At 41.4% G+C, this 19,230-nt stretch overlaps 1 long non-coding RNA gene across 2 annotated transcripts; it reads left to right on the top strand.

Moving 5' to 3' along the window:
• Positions 1-2,483: 2,483 nt before the first annotated feature.
• Positions 2,484-18,229, top strand: LOC101929201 (uncharacterized). 2 transcript variants are annotated; one of them, XR_007058838.1, is made up of 5 exons: positions 2,484-2,524; positions 3,983-4,057; positions 5,281-5,633; positions 8,649-8,809; positions 17,834-18,229. It is a non-coding gene; the product is annotated as an uncharacterized LOC101929201 (long non-coding RNA). The 2 variants fall into 2 exon arrangements; XR_002956216.2 differs by lacking the exon at positions 2,484-2,524 and having other exon boundaries at positions 3,862-4,057.
• The last annotated feature ends 1,001 nt before the right edge of the window (positions 18,230-19,230 follow it).

The following is a 19,230-nucleotide window of genomic DNA, read 5'->3' as shown; positions in this document are numbered from 1 at the left end:
TGAAAATGTCATCTTGGGGCAGATGCAGGACAAGAGCTTGTGAAAGGAATGGCCAAGAGGAATAGGTGGACAACCAGAGGAGTGGGAGCTCACAGGAGCCTTGAGTGGAGTTTCAGAAACCCAGATTTCACACAGAAACATCAACAAATCAACTTCGCGTCTCGAGGTGATGGTATTTAAACTGTGTTCTATTGAGACCCTTCATTAATATTTGGTTTTGAAATATATTTTAACATAAGTTAAAAATAGCAAACTCAAATATGGTGTTTCTAACATTTTAAAACTGAAATCCAGCAAACATCAGTGCCACGTTAACTGTTTTTTTGTGCAGGTGCCAGAATAAGGCCATTTCTGGTAAATTGAAGAGCTTCCTGGTATTTCAAGGTGAGCTGTTGAAAGAACTGGTACCATTTCTCAGTGTGAATCAGGGCTTTCTCAATGCTCTGTCACTGAAACAAAATACAGAAATAGGGTCTACATAAGATAACTTCTGTCTTCTGTAAACCTAGTCTCAAATGTTTGTTTATGAAAATAATTTTATTTTGAATGACTTAACTGCTTAAGTGTGACATCCCATGCCTTCTGTTAATATATGGGGCTTTGATGTTGTCGTTTTTAAGGGTTGGGGAGGTGTAGCTAAGAAGAAGTTAACCAACACCACTTTCTTTCTGTAGCTTATTTGCCTCTCTTCAAAGTCAAGTTTTAGAGGCTTATGTGTATTGTGTGTTTCTTTTTACATGTATTATTTTGATACTGATTATATCACGAGGACCACGTAACTTTGTGTTTGCATTGCTATAGAAAGTTTAGAGAGTTAATATTTCTGTTATCTTAAATGGTCCTCTTTTTTTCATATTTACTCATAAACTTAACTGCTTACAAATTATCTCTGATAGAAGTGCTCTCAAATTATACTCTTTGTATTTGGTTTTAGACTACTGTATGATATTTGATTTTTATTTCTAGTTTAAGTTACAATTAAAATTAGTCTGAATTTGAGTAGAATATGACTTACACTACTTGGTCAACAAATTGAGCATGTTCGACGGTCCAGGAAGAAAAAAGGAGCGATCAGTACTCAACATTGGCTCCAAATAACCCACAGAATTTGCAAATCACTTGCAAATTGTCTAATAAAGTTTAACTTTTAAACAACTTTTGTTTATATTTTTCTACTTAGTGATTAATCTTGGTCTCCTGTAGCAGAGCCTTTATTTTACAATTACAATCTGTGCATTAAAATCTCAGCGTTATACATAATAGTATAAGGCATAGAACTACCTAGACTATGGTGCATGGCCAACTACTCCATCTCACAACAGTTTTCATACAATTTCATGACCTCAGTGTTATCGTTATCCCCATTTTATAGATGGGGAGTCTGAGGTTCAGCAAGATAAAGTGATCAGCCAAACAGGAGGCAGAACCAGGAATAAAACACAGGTCCTCTGCCTCCTCTGTGCCTTTCTCCATCATGCCTGAACCATGACCTGTGGGTATTTTTTAAGAAGGCAGGTACAAAAGTTTATCAATTTTCAGTATTTAGCAACCTATCACTTAATGAGAAGGATCGAATGGTTTTCCATTTCACAATAGTATTATGTCTTCGAATTTCACCCTACTTATTTTTTTAGGAGAAACAAGTTTAATTTTAATTATATAAGTGGTTCATGTATACTTTCTTTTTGTAATTGTTTTTAATAATACAGATAAAGCAAAAATCATCCTTGACCTCTCAGTTCTATCCCTAAAAACTGTTACTATAAGCTCTTTAATGTCTATCCTTTCAGCATTTTGTATGCATTTGTATACAATATGTATGTACTTATAGAAACATGTAGTTTTGGAGGGCAAAGAGTCATAAATTTTATCATATGGTATGTTTTATTCTACAGTGTGCCTTTTTTAACTTAATCTTATTAGATGATCTGTCCAAGTTGGTACATACAGATCAGCCTGATTCCTCCGAACTCCTTCAGAGTATTATTTCATTTTATGGATATATATGATTTATTTAAACATTTCACTATTTTTTCTTTTCATTTTCATCTTACCCCCTTCTTCCCCACCTTGAGCTACTTGTTAAATGTTAGCAATATTCAGGAATAATCAGTGCCTAGTCACCAAACGTCTTGCAGTGCTTCTAATGCCTTCTCTCACTGGGGAGAATGAACTGTGGATGAACAAATGTTCCTGAAAACTAAAACTCAAAAATAAGTTTTACTAGCCTTGATGAAAATCTTCCCAAATTATACTCAAACAACATCTAGCAACATACTTTGGACATAATAATTGCACAATAAATGTGTTAAATGACTGTTCATGTTTACTGCCTTAGAAAAGAGAAGACGCCACGTGTAATTTTATTTTATTTTATTTTATATTTATTTTATTTTTTTGAGATAGAGTCTCGCTCTGTTGCCCAGGCTGGAGTGCAGTGGCAAGATCTCAGCTCACTGCAACCTCTGCCTCCCAGGTTCAAGTGATTCTCCTGCCTCAGCCTCCCGAGTAGCTGGGATTACAGGTGCGCACCGCCATACCCAGCTTATTTTTGTATTTTTAGTAGAAACGGGGTTTTGCCATGTTGGCCAGGCTAATCTTGAATTCCTGACCTCAAGTGATCCACCTGCCTTGGCCTCCCAAAGTGCTGGGATTATAGGTGTGAGCCAGCACGCCTGGCCACCACATGTAAATTTTAACGTTTGCTCGGTGACTTGGTCTTTCAGCTATTGTACAGTGTCACCATCTGGAGATGCTTGGTGATCACCAAGTTTAAAACCCAAAGTGCTGTGCTTTGTAGCCTTCAAAGTGGGAAAGAAAAAGGTAGGATTAAAAAGGAAAGAAGGAATAGGGAAATGTTTGAACCCCAGTATATCCAGACATTTCTCTCTCTTATGTCAAGAGCCTTTTGTCTCCTGATTGGTGGCTTTTCTTCTGACAGCATCCTCTGCCAGTTTGCTGTTCAGTCAAACATCTTGTGAATACCTACAATGTCACTAGGCACTCTGCCAGGCACTGGAATGCAAAGATGGGAAGACACAGCCCTATCCTCCAGAAGCTTATAATCTAATGAGGGAAGCATGCATATTAACCAAGAAGCAATCATACATCAATGCTGTTATGAAAGGTATATACACAGGAGAGAATTAGCCAATATCACTGAGAAGGTAACATTGGAACTAAGTGTAAAAGACGAATAGATGTTCACTTTGAAGATTGGAGTGATGGAGGAAAGCAAGCCACACATTTGAATTCACAGTCCTGACATACACTCTGGCTGAGCTTGGGGAATCAGAGCAAGTCATAGAGTCCAGACTACGGACTTTGTTTCATGTCCTCAGCAGTTCTGACTTTTCCCAAAGGCAGTGGAAAGCCACTGAAACCTTTGAGGAGGAGACATAGCATGACTGGATGCACATTTTAGAGACAGTAAAACATTCTGGCTACAGTATCAAGAATGGCCTAAAGAAAGCTTATGGGGCCAGGCGTGGTGGCTCACGCATATAATCCTGGCACTTTGGGAGGCCGAGGTGGACGAATCACTTGAGGTCAGGAGTTTGAGACCAGCCTGGCCAACATGATGAAACCCTGTCTACTAAAAGTACAAAAATTTGCCAGGCATGGTGGCACTTGCCTGTAATTCCAGCTACTCGGGAGGCTGAGACATGAGAATCACTTTAACCCAGGAGGCAGAGATTGCAATGAGCTGAAATCACACCACTGCTCTCTAGCCTGGGTGACAGAGTGAGACTCTGTCCAAAAAAAAAAAAAAAAGCTTATGGGAGGCCAGGTGCAATGGCTCATGCCTATAATCCCAGCACTTTGGGAGGCCGAGGTAGGAAGATTGCTTGAACCCAGGAGTTCAAGACCACCCTGGGCAACATTGTGAGACCTCATCTTTATAAAAATTAATAATAGTTTCTTAAAACAAGAAAGCTTATAGAAAACCATATTCAGGAAGATCTTTTTTTTTTAATTGTAGCAATCCAGGTAAGAGACACAGAAAACTGTAAATGATGCAAAAACAGCTGAACTGAATATGAGAGATGTTCAAGAGGTACGTGATGGGATGATATTTTGAAATTTGGATTTCTGCTGCTTTCCTGGCATTTATTCTTCCTTTCAACAAATGTATTCTATGCACTTGGCCCTCAGTTTTGGGTTATTACTGTAGTAATGAAAGGGTCAGTTCTCTACTTTTGAATTTCCCACCTCAAATGAGACTTTTTTTTTTTAATGACACCCCCCACGTAGCAAGGAAGGAGAGTGGAAGGAAATGAGAGGGTGGCAAATATCACTATGGAAGAGCCCTGAGCACAACCTCCTTTCTCCGGTTGTCTAGTACATCAGCCTTAGATGGGAGCAGGGAGGGTAAAAAAGTGAACCTTCAGACAGGATAGGAGATTGAAGAGCAGAGGACGCCCATGCCTCAAGTTCCAGGTGTGACCTACAGAAGAGTTCCCTTGGGCCAGGGTGATGCAGCAGCCACTGAGTAGAAATGACAACATGGTGTTTTTAAGCTAAGAGGGGCCCAACACATTTCTTGGAGCCCCAGTGTGGCATCGGAAAGCATCTGAAATGTTTCCGTGTCCCACTGCTCCAGCAGGTATGACAAAAGAGCTACTGTGTTAGATATGAGGACACACGTTCACCTGGGTGGATATGGGACCAAAGACAAGATGGACATCTCAGTGGATGCTGGCAGAGAAAGGGGCCAGAGGGAGCCCACTGTCTAAGCAAATGCCAGCATAAATCAGGTGGATCAAGAAACAGAAACCCTGGCCGGGCACGGTGGCTCATGCCTGTAATCCCAGCACTTTGGGAGGCCGAGGCAGGTGGATCGCCTGAGGTCAGGAGTTTGAGACCAGCCTGGCCAACATGGTGAAACCCCGTCTCTACTAAAAGTACAAAAATTAGCTGGGCATGGTGGCAGGCACCTGTAGTCCCAGGTACTTGGGAGGCTGAGGCAGGAGAATCGCTTGAACCTGGGAGGGGGAGGTTGCAGTGAGCCGAGATGGCGCCATTGCACTCCAGCCTGGGTGACGAGTGAAACTCTGTCTCAAAAAGAAAAAAAAGAAACAGAACCTGCCACACCGCAGCCCTGAAGTGCTTGAACACTGTCATCACTTAGATGTAACCCGAGGGAGCAGGTGGCAGAGGAGAAACCTTAAATTCGCTGAGTTTATATTGACTTGACAAAAAATGTTTCTACCGCCAGGCAGAAAAATGAATTTTGGAACAAAATTGAGAAAACAAAATTACATTCTTTGCATTCCCTAGTTATGACCTGAGAAGATGTCCCCGCCATCAATAGACATTGCAGGATGTGATACCACTCTGGAGGACTTTGAAGTTTCTGGATTTGGTTGAAGAAAGATGCTTTGGACATTTTGAATTTGAGATGCTTCTCCAGAAGTCTTATGGATCTGAAGCATGGGAGAGGAGTATAAGCTGGGGAAATAAGTTTGGGGGTTACCAGAAAACTAGCAGTGGGTAAGGCCATGAGCAAATGAAATCAAATAGAGGATGAAGAGAACAGGAGCCCTAGCAAACCTTGACAGTTAAAGAGTATGCAGGGAAAAGGACTTAGAAAGGACCCTGTAAAGAAAGATCCAAGATGACCTGAAGAACTGGTAAGTGATGCCATATAATCAAACAATCAATAGCATCCAGCCCAAGGATAGTTCAGGGTTGCACACAAGCTCTTTATCATGGCTCTTTTTTCTTTTTCTTTTCTTTTCTTTCTTTTTTTTTTTTTTTTTTTTTTTTTTTTGGAGACAGAGTCTCGCTGTCTCCCAGGCTGGAGTACAGTGGCACAATCTCGCCTCACTGCAACCTCTGCCTTAGGATTCAAGCAATTCTCCCTGCCTCAGCCTCCCAAGTAGCTGGGATTACAGGCACCCACCACCACACCCGGCTAATTTTTGTATTTTTTAGTAGAGACAGGTTTTCACCATGTTGGCCAGGCTGGTCTTGAACTCCTGACTTCAGGTGATCTGCCAGCCTCAGCCTCCCAAAGTGCTGGGATTACAGGTGTGAGCCACCATGCCTGGCCTTAGGCTTTTCTAATTGATCAGGAAATTATTGGCCTCACATTAGAACTTAAGAGAATGTTCTCATTGCCCAGGGATGCCAGGAGTCTGACTACAGGGATTAATTTGTGCTAATGCAGTGCAGCCTTACTTGTCATAATGTTACTGCAAGGTAAATTATAGTTCACATACACAGAGAACACTTCTGCATGCTTTGTCAACATGCTATTAGGATTTTTTCACTGTATTACCCAATTCCCCTTTTAAGAAAAGATCTCTGTCTCAAATTATTGTCAGAGATTAGAACTAGATAAGTGTGTCCTCTTTGGCCTATGTGTCTTCTAGGCAAAGAGGACTACGTAAGTCCATGATTCCCTCTTCACTCTGGCTGCTAGGAAGCTCAAGACAAGATTTTGGGCTTAATTGCTATAATGTTCCTCAGATAGTTTCTACAATTCTAGTTTTTTCTTCCTCTTAGCCCTTATTTATTTGTTCCTGCTCCTATTTCTTGATCAGTCATTTGGTCCTGTTATACTGGTGTGATGGTACCTGTGTTTTCATCAAAAGTTACTTCAAATCTTTGGTGCATTTGGAAAGATACAGAATAGCTAATTGAAAAAAAAGTCTAAGTCAGCTGGCTGTGGTGACTCACACCTGTAATCCCAGCATTTTGGGAGGCCAAGGCAGGAGGATCACTTGAGGCCAGGAGTTCAAGACAAACCTGGGCAACATAGTGAAACCTTATTTCTACAAAAAAGAAACCTAAAAATTAGCCAGGCATGCACCTGTGATCCCAGCTACTCAAGTGGCCGAGGCCAGAGGATCACTTGAACCTGGGAGGTCAAGGCTGCAGTGAGCTGTAATGCACAACTACACTCCAGCCTGGGCGACAGAGCAAGACCCTGTCTCAGAAAAAGAAAAATATCATAATTTTACAGTTTTTTAAAAAACTGTATCTTTAAGGTTGACCATGTAGCTGCTGTCTTCATATATTAGTTATAAAGTTCATTCTGATGAATAATTCAGGGAAGCTTTTTCCCAATAGTCCATCTATATGTCAACAATAGCAAAAGTAACATTTGATTGCTTGATGCTATAGGACATTTAAAGAGCCAGAGTGATAAGGGAATGATGGATTTATGTAGTTCTCTTTGCCTGGATGGAACGTAGACCAAAAAGGACAAATGTATCTAGTCCTAATCTCTCACAATAAGTTGAGACAGGGATCTTTTCTTAAAAGGAGAATTGGGTAATACAGTGAAAAAATCTTCATAGCATCTTGACAAAACATACAGAAGTGTTCTTTGTGTATGTGAATTACAGTCTACCTTGCAGTAACATTATGGAGATGAGCAAGGCTGCATTAAAGGTAACCCAATCCAGTGATAGGAAGCTTTCCTCTCTAGCCTATTATCTGTGCTTATCTCTAATGACCATTCTGGTTAGAAGTGTGGCTACTAATATTAAGTCATTAGTATAAATTTTTCCTTCTCCAAATCCAGTGTCAAAGCTCATAACAAGCTGCTTGCTTTGACTGTTGAATGGTCATGAGCAAGCACTTTTGAAGGTTATCAGAATCAAAATGGAGTCAGTTGTGTTAAAAATTGGAAAAAGGGCAGGGCACAGTGGCTTACGCCTGTAATCTCAGCACTTTGGGAGGCTGAGGTAGAAGGATTTCTTGAGGCCAAGGGTTTGAGACCAGCCTTGGCAACATAGTAAGACCCCATATCTACAAAAAAGTTTAAAAATTAGCCAGGCGCGTTAGTACACACCTGTAGTCCCAGCTACTTGGGAGGTTGAGGTGGGAGAATCACTTGAGCCCAGGAGGATGATCACAGCTGTGATCACACCATCGCACTCCAGCCTAGGTGATAGAGCAAAATTGTGACTCTGTCTCAAAAAAAATAAAAAATTGGCTGGGCACAGTGGCTCAAGCCTGTAATCCCAGCACTTAGGGAGGCAGAGATGGGTGGATCATTTAACGTTAGGCATTCAAGATCAGCCTGGCCAACATGGTGAAACCCTGCTACTACTAAAAATACAAAATTAGCCAGGCGTGGTGGTGGGTGCCTGTAATCCCAGCTACTCAGGAGGCTGAGGCAGGGGAATCACTTGAACCCGGGAGGCGGAGGTTGCAGTGAGCCAAGATTGCACCACTGCACTCCAGCCTGGGTGACAGAGTGAGACTCCATCTCAAAAAAAAAATAAAAAATAAAAAGAGGAAAATAAAACCCTAACAAATAGATCCAGGGAGGGCTATGAAGAGAGGGTTCTCACTTCCATGCCTGATAACAAAAGCTATCACAAAAGGCTGCAAAACCCACAGCCTTGCCCCAAGGCCATCACAACCTTACACAAAAAAATATTTCTATGAGGGCATCTGCTCAGCAACTACCTGTCCAACCTCAATCACTGCTATTGTTGATCTTGTAGTTTAGAATAATCATTTCAAAACAATTATGTAATCCTCCTCATTTTTCCTTTAAAATCTTTTGTCTTCTTTTGCCTCCCTGAATACACACATAGTTTGCTATGACACTCATATTCCCACTGCAATGCCCTATTCCTGAATATATATATATATATATATATAAATTTTTTTTTTTTTTTTTTTAGAGAGAGCCTCTCTGTTATTTAGGGTGACATAAATAGCGTCTGGAAGCAGGACCTGAAGTAGGATCAGTTTTGGACAGAGCTGGCAATTCTTGGTACCAGTATGCAGCACTTACAGGAGCCCTTTGAGCTCTCCACTTTCACGGCTCGCCTCTTCTGCCCTGGTGAGTCTTCTCTCAGGCTGAGCCTCCCTCTTTTTGGTAGAGGCTTTAAAAATTTTTTTAGGATCACTTTGGTTGTAAGCCTGCCTTAATAAAAGACCTTATAGGCTGGGCATGGTGGCTTATGCCTGTATTCCCAGCACTTTGGGAGGCAGGTGGGTCCTTGAGCTCAGGAGTTTGAAACCATCCTGAGCAACATAGCAAAATCCCATCTCTACAAAAAAGACAAAAATCAGCTGGGCATGGTGGCACGTGCCTGTAATCCCAGCTTCTTGGGAGGCTGAGGTGGGAGGATTGCTTGAGCCTGGGAGGTAGAGGTTGCAGTGAGCCAAGATGGCGCCACGGCACTACAACCTGAGTGACAGAGTGAGAACCTGTCAAAAAAAAAAAAAAAAAAAAATTAAAGGACCTGGCCAAGCGCAGTGGCTCACGCCTATAATCCCAACACTTTGGGAGGCCGAGTCAGGCGGATCACCTAAGGTGAGGAGTTCCAGACCAGCGTGGTCAACATGGTGAAACACTGTCTCTACTAAAAATACAAAAATTAGCTGGGCATGGTGGTGGGTGCCTGTAATTCCTGCTACTCAGAACACTGAGGCAGGAGAATCACTGGAACCTGGGAGGTGGAGGTTGCAGTGAGCTGAGATCACTGCCACTGTACTCCAGCCTGGGTAATAGAGTGAGACTCCATCTCAGAAAAAAAAAAAAAGGACCTCAGATCCCCCTGGGATGATAAAATACTTCTTGTTTTTTCTGGCAAGTTCTTTTTGGTATAAAGACAAGTGTCTTTCTGGGTTGAGCACTCTGAATTCTACGGAATTTACACTCTGTCTTTGAGGCATGTTTTTTCTGGTGAACTTACTTCTTAATTTAATATTTTGTTTGATCTGCAAACCTGGCTTAAAATTTTTGTGAACACTCTTACCCTGGTTTCATTTGGTTACAGGCATCTGTAACTCTTTTCCCTTGCTTGTTTCTGAAAATGTTCTGAGAGCAAAAATAAACATTTAATTCATACAGAATGGCTGATTAAAAGCCACTAGGGCAGCCACCACCATCTAAACATTGGTCCAAAGTCCTGACACTCTCTGATAGGATTTATAGGATCTTCTTTGCTCTCAATATATTAATAAGAACAGAATGAGATTCTCAAACATTAAGGCATGCCACGTTTTCTGGGACTGAAGCCAGCTACATATTATGATCAGTTCTTGTGCATATTTTTAAACAGATAGGCAAAGTACATAATGGAAAATTCAGAGCCAAAATGGTCATTATTTTAAACTCTCTTTAAAAACCTTGCAACTATAGAGTTAGCATATAGAGCCTTCTGAGTTCTTTGTCTGCCTCTGTTTTTTTTTTCCTTCTGCCTACTTTAAATCTGCTGATTTTTCTGTCGGTGTTATGGCATTCCAGAAAAGGTCTTGGACTGGGCATGGTGGCCCATGCCCGTAATCCTAGTGCTTTGGAAGGCCAAGACAAGAGAATGGCTTGAAGCCAGGAGTTCAAGACCAGCCTGGGCAAAACAGCAAGACCTCATTTCTACCAAAAAAAAATTTTTTTTACACTAGCTGGGCATGGTGGTGCATGCCTGTAGTCCTACCTATTTGAGAGGCTGAAGCAGGAGGATCACTTGAGCCCAGGAGTTTGAAGTTCCAATGAGCTATGATTGTGCCACTGTACTCCTGATGTGCCTGGATGACAGACTGAGACCCTGTCTCAAAAAAAAAAAAAAAAAAAAAAAGATTTTAAAGCTCTTTCAAATTATTGGCTTTACACATTACAATAGCTCCATGGCAAGTAACAATCTAGAAATCTTTGGGAATGTAAATTTAGGTTTGCCTGACTAATAATTGCATATTGTGATGAAATGGATAATTGAAGGATTGACAATATAAAAGAAAAAGAACCAGATAAGACCAGGTGTGGTGGCTCACACCTGTAATCCCAGCACTTTGGGAGGCTGAGGTGGGCAAATTATGAGGTCAGGAGCTTGAGACCAGCCTGACCAACATGGTGAAACCCTGTCTTTACTAAAAATACAAAAATTAGCCCGGTGTGGTGGCGCATGCCTGTAATCCCAGCTACTCAGGAGACTGAGGCTGGAGAATCGCTTGAAATCGGGAGGTGGAGGTTGCAGTGAGCAGAGATCATGCCACTGCACTCCAGCCTGGGTGACAGAGTGAGACTCCATCTCAAAAAAAAAAAAACAAAAAACCAAAAACCAGATAAATGTTTATAAAGTTACACACTCAGATCAAATAGATCAAAATCTTGATCTCAGAGCAATCATATGATATCTTTGTCCAGCATAAAAAATTTGCTTTGTCTGCCATGCAGGGGCCAAAAGGAGAAAGTCAAAACAAAAGCAAAGCAAAGCCTTCTAACATGTTTCCCCGTCCACATTGACTAGTCAAACACACCAGACTGGCAAAAGATAGATTATTACTAAAAATACAAGGCCGGCCAGGCGTGGTGGCTCACGCCTATAATCCCAGAATTTTGGAAGGTTGAGGCAGGCAGATCACTTGAGGTCAGGAGTTCAAGACCAGCCTGGCCAATATGGTGAAACCCTATCTCTACTAAAAGTACAAAAAAAAAAAAAAATTAGCTGGGTGTGGTGGTGCATGCCTGTAATCCCAGCTACTTGGGAGGCTGAGGCATGAGAGTTGCTTGAACCCAGGAAGCAGAGGCTGCAGTGAACTGAGATCACACCACTGCACTCCAGCCTGGGCAACCAAGCAAGATTCTGTCTCCAAAAAAAATAATACAGAGCTACTTAGAGATTTTGTTTTTCTTATACAATTTGGCCAGTCCTATCTAAAATATAAACATTGAAAATTTAAAACTAAACTTACATGAAACTAAGAAAAAGAAAAAAAAGGTGAAGGAGTTTTTTAAAAATCAAACTGCTATGGAAACTGCTTTACGCAACATTTTGGTCCACAGCCTTCATTAGATTACCTTTTTGGGGAAAATGCAGTTTAGTTGTATAAATAGGTCCCAGTTTTGTCTGAAATTTTGTCATAACTTGAATACAAGTTTTTTTTGTTTGTTTTTTTTTTTGAGACAGAGTTTCGCTCCTGTTGCCCAGGCTGGAGTGCAGTGGCACGATCTTAGCTCACTGCAACCTCTGCCTCCTGGGTTCAAGCGATTCTCCTGCCTCAGCCTCCTGAGTAGCTGGGATTACAGGCATGCGCCACCACAGCCGGCTACTTTTGTATTTTTAGTAGAGACAGGGTTTCTCCATGTTGATCAGCCTGGTCTTGAACTCTCAACTTCAGGTGATCCACCTCGGCCTCCCAAAGTGCTGGTATTACAGGCGTGAGCCACCGTGCCCGGCAATCCAAGTATGTTTTATAAACTGGTGAGTTTGTATTACTATATCATGAATAAAATTGTAAAATGAAAGCTGTAACATCTTCGTGTGTGTGTGTTTAGGTATGTTTGTGCATATGTACATGTATTATGTTGTGTCTGCATGATCAAATCTGCCGTGGTTGGCCAGAAATCATTAAGAAATTCTCTTCTGGTTGGGCCAGATGCAGTGGCTCATGCCTGTAGTCCCAGCACTTTGGGAGGCTGAGGCGGGCGGATCACCTGAGTTCAGGAGTTCAAGACCAGCCTAGCCAACATGGCGAAACCCCGTCTCTACTAAAAATAAAAAAATTAGCTGGGCATGGTGGCACATGCCTATAATCCCAGCTAACTCGAGAGGCTGAGGTGGGAGAATCGCTTGAACCCGGGAGGTGGAGGTTGCAGTTAGCCAAAATCACGCCACTGTACTCTAGCCTGGGCAAAAGAGTGAGACTCCATCTCAAAAAAAAAAGAAAAAAAGAAATTATTTTCAGATTGGCTTATATAACTGAGTGCTCATATAAAATGTGGTAATTCAAGTGCCTTTTAGTTCACATGACTTAAGTAAATTGTTAATAAGATGGTTTTAAAACTATTGGTAAAATAAAAATACAGATATCTTTAGAAGTGTCCACATACATTTTTCCCAGAGTTTACTTGTCAGACAGTTCTATATTTGTCTCTACTAGATGTTTTAAGATGTCTGGGTTTGACACAAAGGTTATATAACTATAAACCCAGCATAAACCAGAATGATCTTTGTGTAACTCTTTGATATGTAAAACTAATTTAATATTGCTCATAATGAAAACAGATTTATGAGTCATGGACAAAATACCTACATGTTTATCTTTAAAGTTCTGACTTAGGTGAAAACCTGATATTCACAGGCTATAAAAATGGTTAATAGCAAAATAATTTGAAAGGGTTCTAGGCTTTGTCTAATATGTCAGTTTTTATAAGTAATCCAGATAAATTATTAAATTGCATAAATGTAAATGGTGTAAATATTTATAAAGAAACTTTTAATTTGAAATCTTAAAATTATGTTAAATTAAGTAATAGATACTCATTAAATGTCTGGGTCATTTCCAAATAAGATTTTTTAAAAACTGAAACAGGCCAGGCGCGGTGGCTAACGCCTGTAATCCCAGCACTTTGGGAGGCTGAGGCAGGTGGATCACAAGGTCAGGAGTTCAAGACCAGCCTGGCCAAGATGGCGAAACCCCATCTCTAGTAAAAATACAAAAAAGTAGCCCGGTGCAGTGACAGGCGCCTGTAATCCCAGCTAGTTGGGAGGCTGAGGCAGGAGAATCACTTGAACCCAGGAGGTGGAGGTTGCAGTGAGCCAAGATCACGCCACTGCACTCCAGCCTGGGCAACAGAGTGAGACTCTGTCTCAAAAAAAAAAAAAAAAAAAAAAAAAAACCTGAAACAAATTGCTGAATATAAGTTTATTTGTTGTTTCTTAAATTTTATACAAAGACTAAATATACTTGGGTCTATTAATACACACAAAGTGTGTGTTTTTTGTAAAAAAAATTATAAGAAAGACATAAAAATCTGTTCTTTATTGAATAAGAATACATTTGTCTAATGTAGAGGTTATTTTAAAATTATTTCAAAATATAACTTTAGGAAGGAAATAGAAGCAAGACAGAAAGGAACCAGTAAGTAGGAAAGAGAGAAAGTAAGTTATGTGCCACATGCAGTGACTTACACTTGTAATCCCAGCACTTTGGGAGGCTGAGGTAGGAGGATCACTTGAGGCCAGGAGTTTGAGACCAGCCTGTGCCATATAGCAAGACCTCGTCTCCACAAAAAACTAAAAAAATTTAGCTGGGTATGGTGGCGTGTATCTGTAGTCCCAGCTACTCTGGAGGCTGAGGTGGGAAGATCATGTGAGCCTAGGAGTTTTAGGCTGCAGTGAGCTATGAATGTGCCACTGCACTCCAGCCTAGGCAGCAGAGCAAAACCCTGTCTCAAGAAAGATGGCTGGGCACAGTGGCTCATGCCTGTAATCCCAGCACTTTGGGAGGCTGAGGCAGGTGGATCATTTGAGGTCAGGAGTTTGAAACAAGCCCGGCCAACATGGTGAAACCCAGTCTCTACTAAAAATACAAAAATTTAGCCAGGCTTGGTGGTGGGTGCCTATAATCCCAGCTACTCAGGAGGCTGAGGCAGGAGAATCGCTTGAGCCCAGGAGGTGGAGGTTGCAATGAGCAGAGATTGTGCCACTGTATTCCAGCCTGGGAGACAGAGCAAGACCCCATCTCAAAAAAAGAAAACAACAGAAGAAAAAGAAAGTAAGGTGTATTTTTGGTAAGGTTAAAAACAAAAGAGAATAAATTTGTATGAGAAAGAATCTTATGTGGTAAATTACTTATTTATTTTTATTTATTTATTTATTTATTTATTTGAAAGGCAGGGTCTTGCCATGTTGATCTTGCACTCCTGGCCTCAAGCAGTCCACCAACCTGGGCCTCCCAAAGTGTTAGGATTACAGGGGTGACCCACCGTGCCTGGCCTTTATGTGGTAAATTTTTGCCCCACTAGTTGTTTAAGAGGAAGTATAGGACAAAGCAGAAAGTCCGAGCATGTTGTCAATGGTATGAGTAAGTCATGAAAAAGGTTTGTGGAGAACTTTATGAAAGGAGTTGTGTGTGTGATTCAGTTGGCTATAATTAGAGGGGAATTATTTGTAAGTGTTTCTAAAGTGTTTCTATGTTATAAGTGATCTTTGATATTAAAAATACACTAATGCGGCTGGGCGCAGTGGCTCATGCCTGTAATCCCTGCATTTTGGGAGGCTGAGGAGGGCAGATCAAGAGGACAAAAGATCAAGACCATCCTGGCCAACATGGTGAAACCCCATCTCTACAAAAAATACAAAAATTAGCTGGGCATGGTGGCGTGTGCCTGTAGTCCCAGCTACTCAGGAGGCTGAGGCAGGAGAATTGCTTGAACCCGGGAGGTGGAGGTTGTAGTGAGCTGAGATCGTGCCACTGCACTCCAGCCTGGTGACAGAGTGAGACTCCATCTCAAAAAAAAATAAAATAAATAAATAAATGCAAAATTAAAGTGTGGTTTCTTATGCTAGAACAACAAAGTTTTCTTTTTTTTTTTTTTGAGATGGAGTCTCACTCAGTCGCCCAGGCTGGAGTGCAGTGGCATGATCTCGGCTCACTGCAAGCTCCGCCTCCCAGGTTCACGCCATTCTCCTGCCTCAGCCTCCTGAGTAGCTGGGACTACAGGCGCCCACCACTATGCCCAGCTAATTTTTTTGTATTTTTCGTAGAGACAGGGTTTCACTGTGTTAGTCAGGATGGTCTCGATCTTCTGACCTCGTGATCCACCCATCTTGGCCTCCCAAAGTGCTGGGATTACAGGCATGAGCCACCGTGCCCGGCCACAACAAGGTTTTCTTTTTTAATGTTTTATTTTTCTAGAAAGGTTCTCACTCAGTCATCCAGGCTGGAGTTCAGTGGCCTGATCACAGCTTACTGCAGCCTCAGCCTCCCAGGCTCAAGTGATCCTCCCACCTCAGCCTCCCTAGTAGCTGGAAACATAGGCATGCACCACCACACTGAGATAATTGTTAAATTTTTTATAGTGATGGGGTCTCACCATGTTGTCCAGGCTAGTCGATTTTCTTGATATATTGATTTGCTCTTAGTAAAATTGCAAGAGGTTTTGATTTTTAAATCTGAAATCTCCTTTGTAACCGCCATCTTCTAAATTGCAGTTTATATTACTGCCATATTTTGTCCTGAGATTCATTTAATTTCCATAGTTTTAGGTTAGAAATGCTGTCTTTTTTATTCAGAGTGGTAATTTCATTTCTTGAGGTAGAGTTTTCCTCTAGAAGTTTCTCAGATTCATATCTCAGAAGTTCAACTTTGGCTGTGTCTCACTGCACACAATTTGCAGGGCATGTATAATTGTCTTCAACTCTCCTTTCCCCTCTTGAAAAGGCATATCTTTTGGCTCAGCTAGGATATTAACTTTTTCAGGTTTTTAGTAAGCTCTTGTGACTTTTTTTCCAGTTCTAACTCTGCTGTTACTGCCTGCTGCTGAAATGACTCTCTTTAAGACCTAGAAAAGCAATGTTTTCCTCTAGTATAACTTGATGTTGTACTCTTAGCTTTTCTTTTCTTTTTTTTTCTTTGAGACAGGGTCTTGCTCTGTTGCCCAAGTTGGAGTGCAGTGGCACAATCGCAGTTCACCAAAGCCTCAATCTCTCAGGCTCAAATGATCCTCCAACCTCAGCCTCCCAAGTAGCTGGGACTACAGGCAATGCCACATGCCCAGCTTACTTTTTTATTTTTTGTAGAGATGGGATATCTCTATGTTGCCCAGACTAGTCTCAAAATCCTGGCCTCAAATGATCCTCCCACCTTGGCCTCCCAAAGTACTGGGGTTACAGGCATGAGCCATTGCACCCAACCAGCTTTTCTTCATGTGTCTGAATTGTTTCATATAACCAGGAAATTTCACATGCTTTTACTTTTTCTAAGAGCCATATATTCCCCTGCTAAATGGTCGTGTGCACCTGTAATCTCAGCTACTCAGGAGACTGAGGCAGGAGAATTGTTTGAACCTGGGAGGCAGAGGTTGCGCTGAGCCGAGATCATGCCCCTGCACTCCAGTCTGGGCAACAGAACAAGACTCCATCTCAGAAAAAACAACAACAACTTTGTTACTTGTTAAATTTTTGTGGACGTAGAAACTCAGAATAACACTGACCCAACACTTTGAGATGACAGCAAAAAACTACACAACAGACAAAATTGAACTCCATAATGGAGTCCAGGCAGACTTAGCCTGAGAGCCAGTCCCTTCCAACCTCCCTTTTGTGCAAAGGTGTTTAAAAGAGTTTTGACAATGACTCCTACTTGCCATTCATTTTCTCCATCGTGGGATGAGACCAGCAACCTGGGACAAGTCTATCCCAGCACCAAGGGACACCAAAACCCAACTACAGGGTGATTGACTAGTGATACTTTTGGAGAAATATCTTGATCAAAAGGGGAATGTTTTGCTTGTGGGAACTAACAATAAAGTATAATAAAGATACAAAAAAGGAAAAAAACAAAAGAGGGAATGTGAAAGCAGAATCAAAATGGAGTCACTTGTGTTAAAAAGGAAAAAAATAAAGCCTAAAAATAGAGTGAGGGTAGGCTGTGAAGAGAGGGTTCTCACTTATATGTCTGATAACAAAAGCTGTCACAAAAGACTACAAAAAACACAGCCTTGCACAAAGGCCATTTAAGCCTTACACGCTAAATGTTCTGTGCAGACATCCACCCAGCAACTGCCTGTCCAACCTCACCCTTGTTATTGGCCTCACCCTTGTTATTGATCTTTGTAGCCAAGGATAATAATTTCAAAATCGTTATGTAATCCTCCTCATCTCTCCTTTAAAACCTTTTGTCTTCATTTTTGCCTCCCTGGGTACACACACACAGTTTACTGTGGCATGCATATTCCCATTGCACTGCCCTATTCCCAAATAAATATATGTTTTTTCTTTTTGAGAGCCTCCCTCTGTTCTTTAGAGTGACAAACTCAACAAAAATAAATAATCAAACATGTTCCTCTGTGCTGTGTTATATTCATAACTTTGGGCTTTCATTCATCATATGTCTTAGTCTATCATCTTTTTTTTAGGTGCCAGGATCTATTTTTGTCATCACCAGCCAGGAAGGATACAAGGCCTCTTCCAAGATGAAGACGAAACTATTGACAGATATTTTGTCAAGACCAAATTTTCCCTAAGGGCCCTGTCATAGATTGTTCCCTGGGCAGGATGCAGCCTCCTTCAGAGAGTGAAGAACACACCAAAAGATCCTCTACTAAATTAATCATAAGCCACATGAGGCAGGCTGGAATACAGTTACCAATCTGCTTTAATTCTCCCACTTAGATGGCCTGAAGCCGCCTGAACTGAAAGTTGGATGAAGCTCGGCTTTGAGTTTCATCGCGGGGCATCGTGTGGCCTAAGTCCTTAGCCAATGCCTGCCAAATATTAGCTTGAGTCGCAATAAAGAGAAAAGGTCCAAATTCTCCCCTTGACTAATGATTTATTCATCAAACCAACATGTCTCAAACCTGTAATTCTAGTTTTGTTTTCTGAAAAGATGTCATTCTATTTGAAAGAGAAACAGCTGTAGGGAAGGAGAATAAGAACTTTCATGGAACACACAGCATGTGTCGCGCACTCAGCATGTAAAGTCACGTGGCCCTTACTACAGCCCTGGGGAGGTGAGCAGTGGCTCTGCTTCACATACAAGCACCCTGACACTCCAGGAAATCGGTCGTCACCCAGCACCCTCTAACTAGGGAAGGATGGAATCCGATTTGAACTCAGGTGTGCTTTTTTTCTCCAGGAAGCATACTTTTCTTTGCCATCTTCAGTGATGAGAGTAACAGAGACAGAAAGATAAAAGGAGTTGACTGCTCACGAGGCTGTTGCTGGACTTTTTAGGACAGTCACTGGAAGATTCTAGTGTGTCTTCTGAATTGCTGACCATAATTCATTCTCTTCCCTCTTTTGCCTGGTTTGTTATTTGATCCCAAGACTGTGCTATAAGTTTTGGGTTGATAAAAGAGAGCTAAGAGTCCATGAAGCGCTCACACCTCCCGTCGAATACCTGATTCCTACAATGCCTGCTTCAAACATAATGGAGAAAATATTTGCAAGAAAGTTGCATGCAATGATTAAACTGCATTCCAAATATAATTTTCCTCTTGTGCCAGAGGAGATTAATTCACATGGACTCAAAAGAGCCTTGGGGACAGGTTTTTGGAAAACCAGACCCTGGCATTCCGGATGCTAAAATGCTGTCAGTAATACTAAGAGTGCTTAGGTCTCCTGCCTCCTCAGCCCTCTGGAAAGAGCCCCAGGGTTATTCGAGTTGGGATCAAATAAAGGGGGTCATTATGATAAAAAGTGGGTGACACCCCCATTCCTCACCTAGAGAACTTACTTAGCCTTCCCATACACCTTCTTCAGTAAAAATCTCCCTTCAACTTAGATTTCAATGTGAAGATTTTGGTTCCACCTT

This window comes from Homo sapiens, chromosome 5 (genome assembly GCF_000001405.40).
Source record: "Homo sapiens chromosome 5, GRCh38.p14 Primary Assembly".
In the NCBI taxonomy this organism is placed as follows: Eukaryota; Metazoa; Chordata; class Mammalia; order Primates; family Hominidae; genus Homo; species Homo sapiens.
This window is presented reverse-complemented; position numbering and strand designations above follow the sequence as displayed.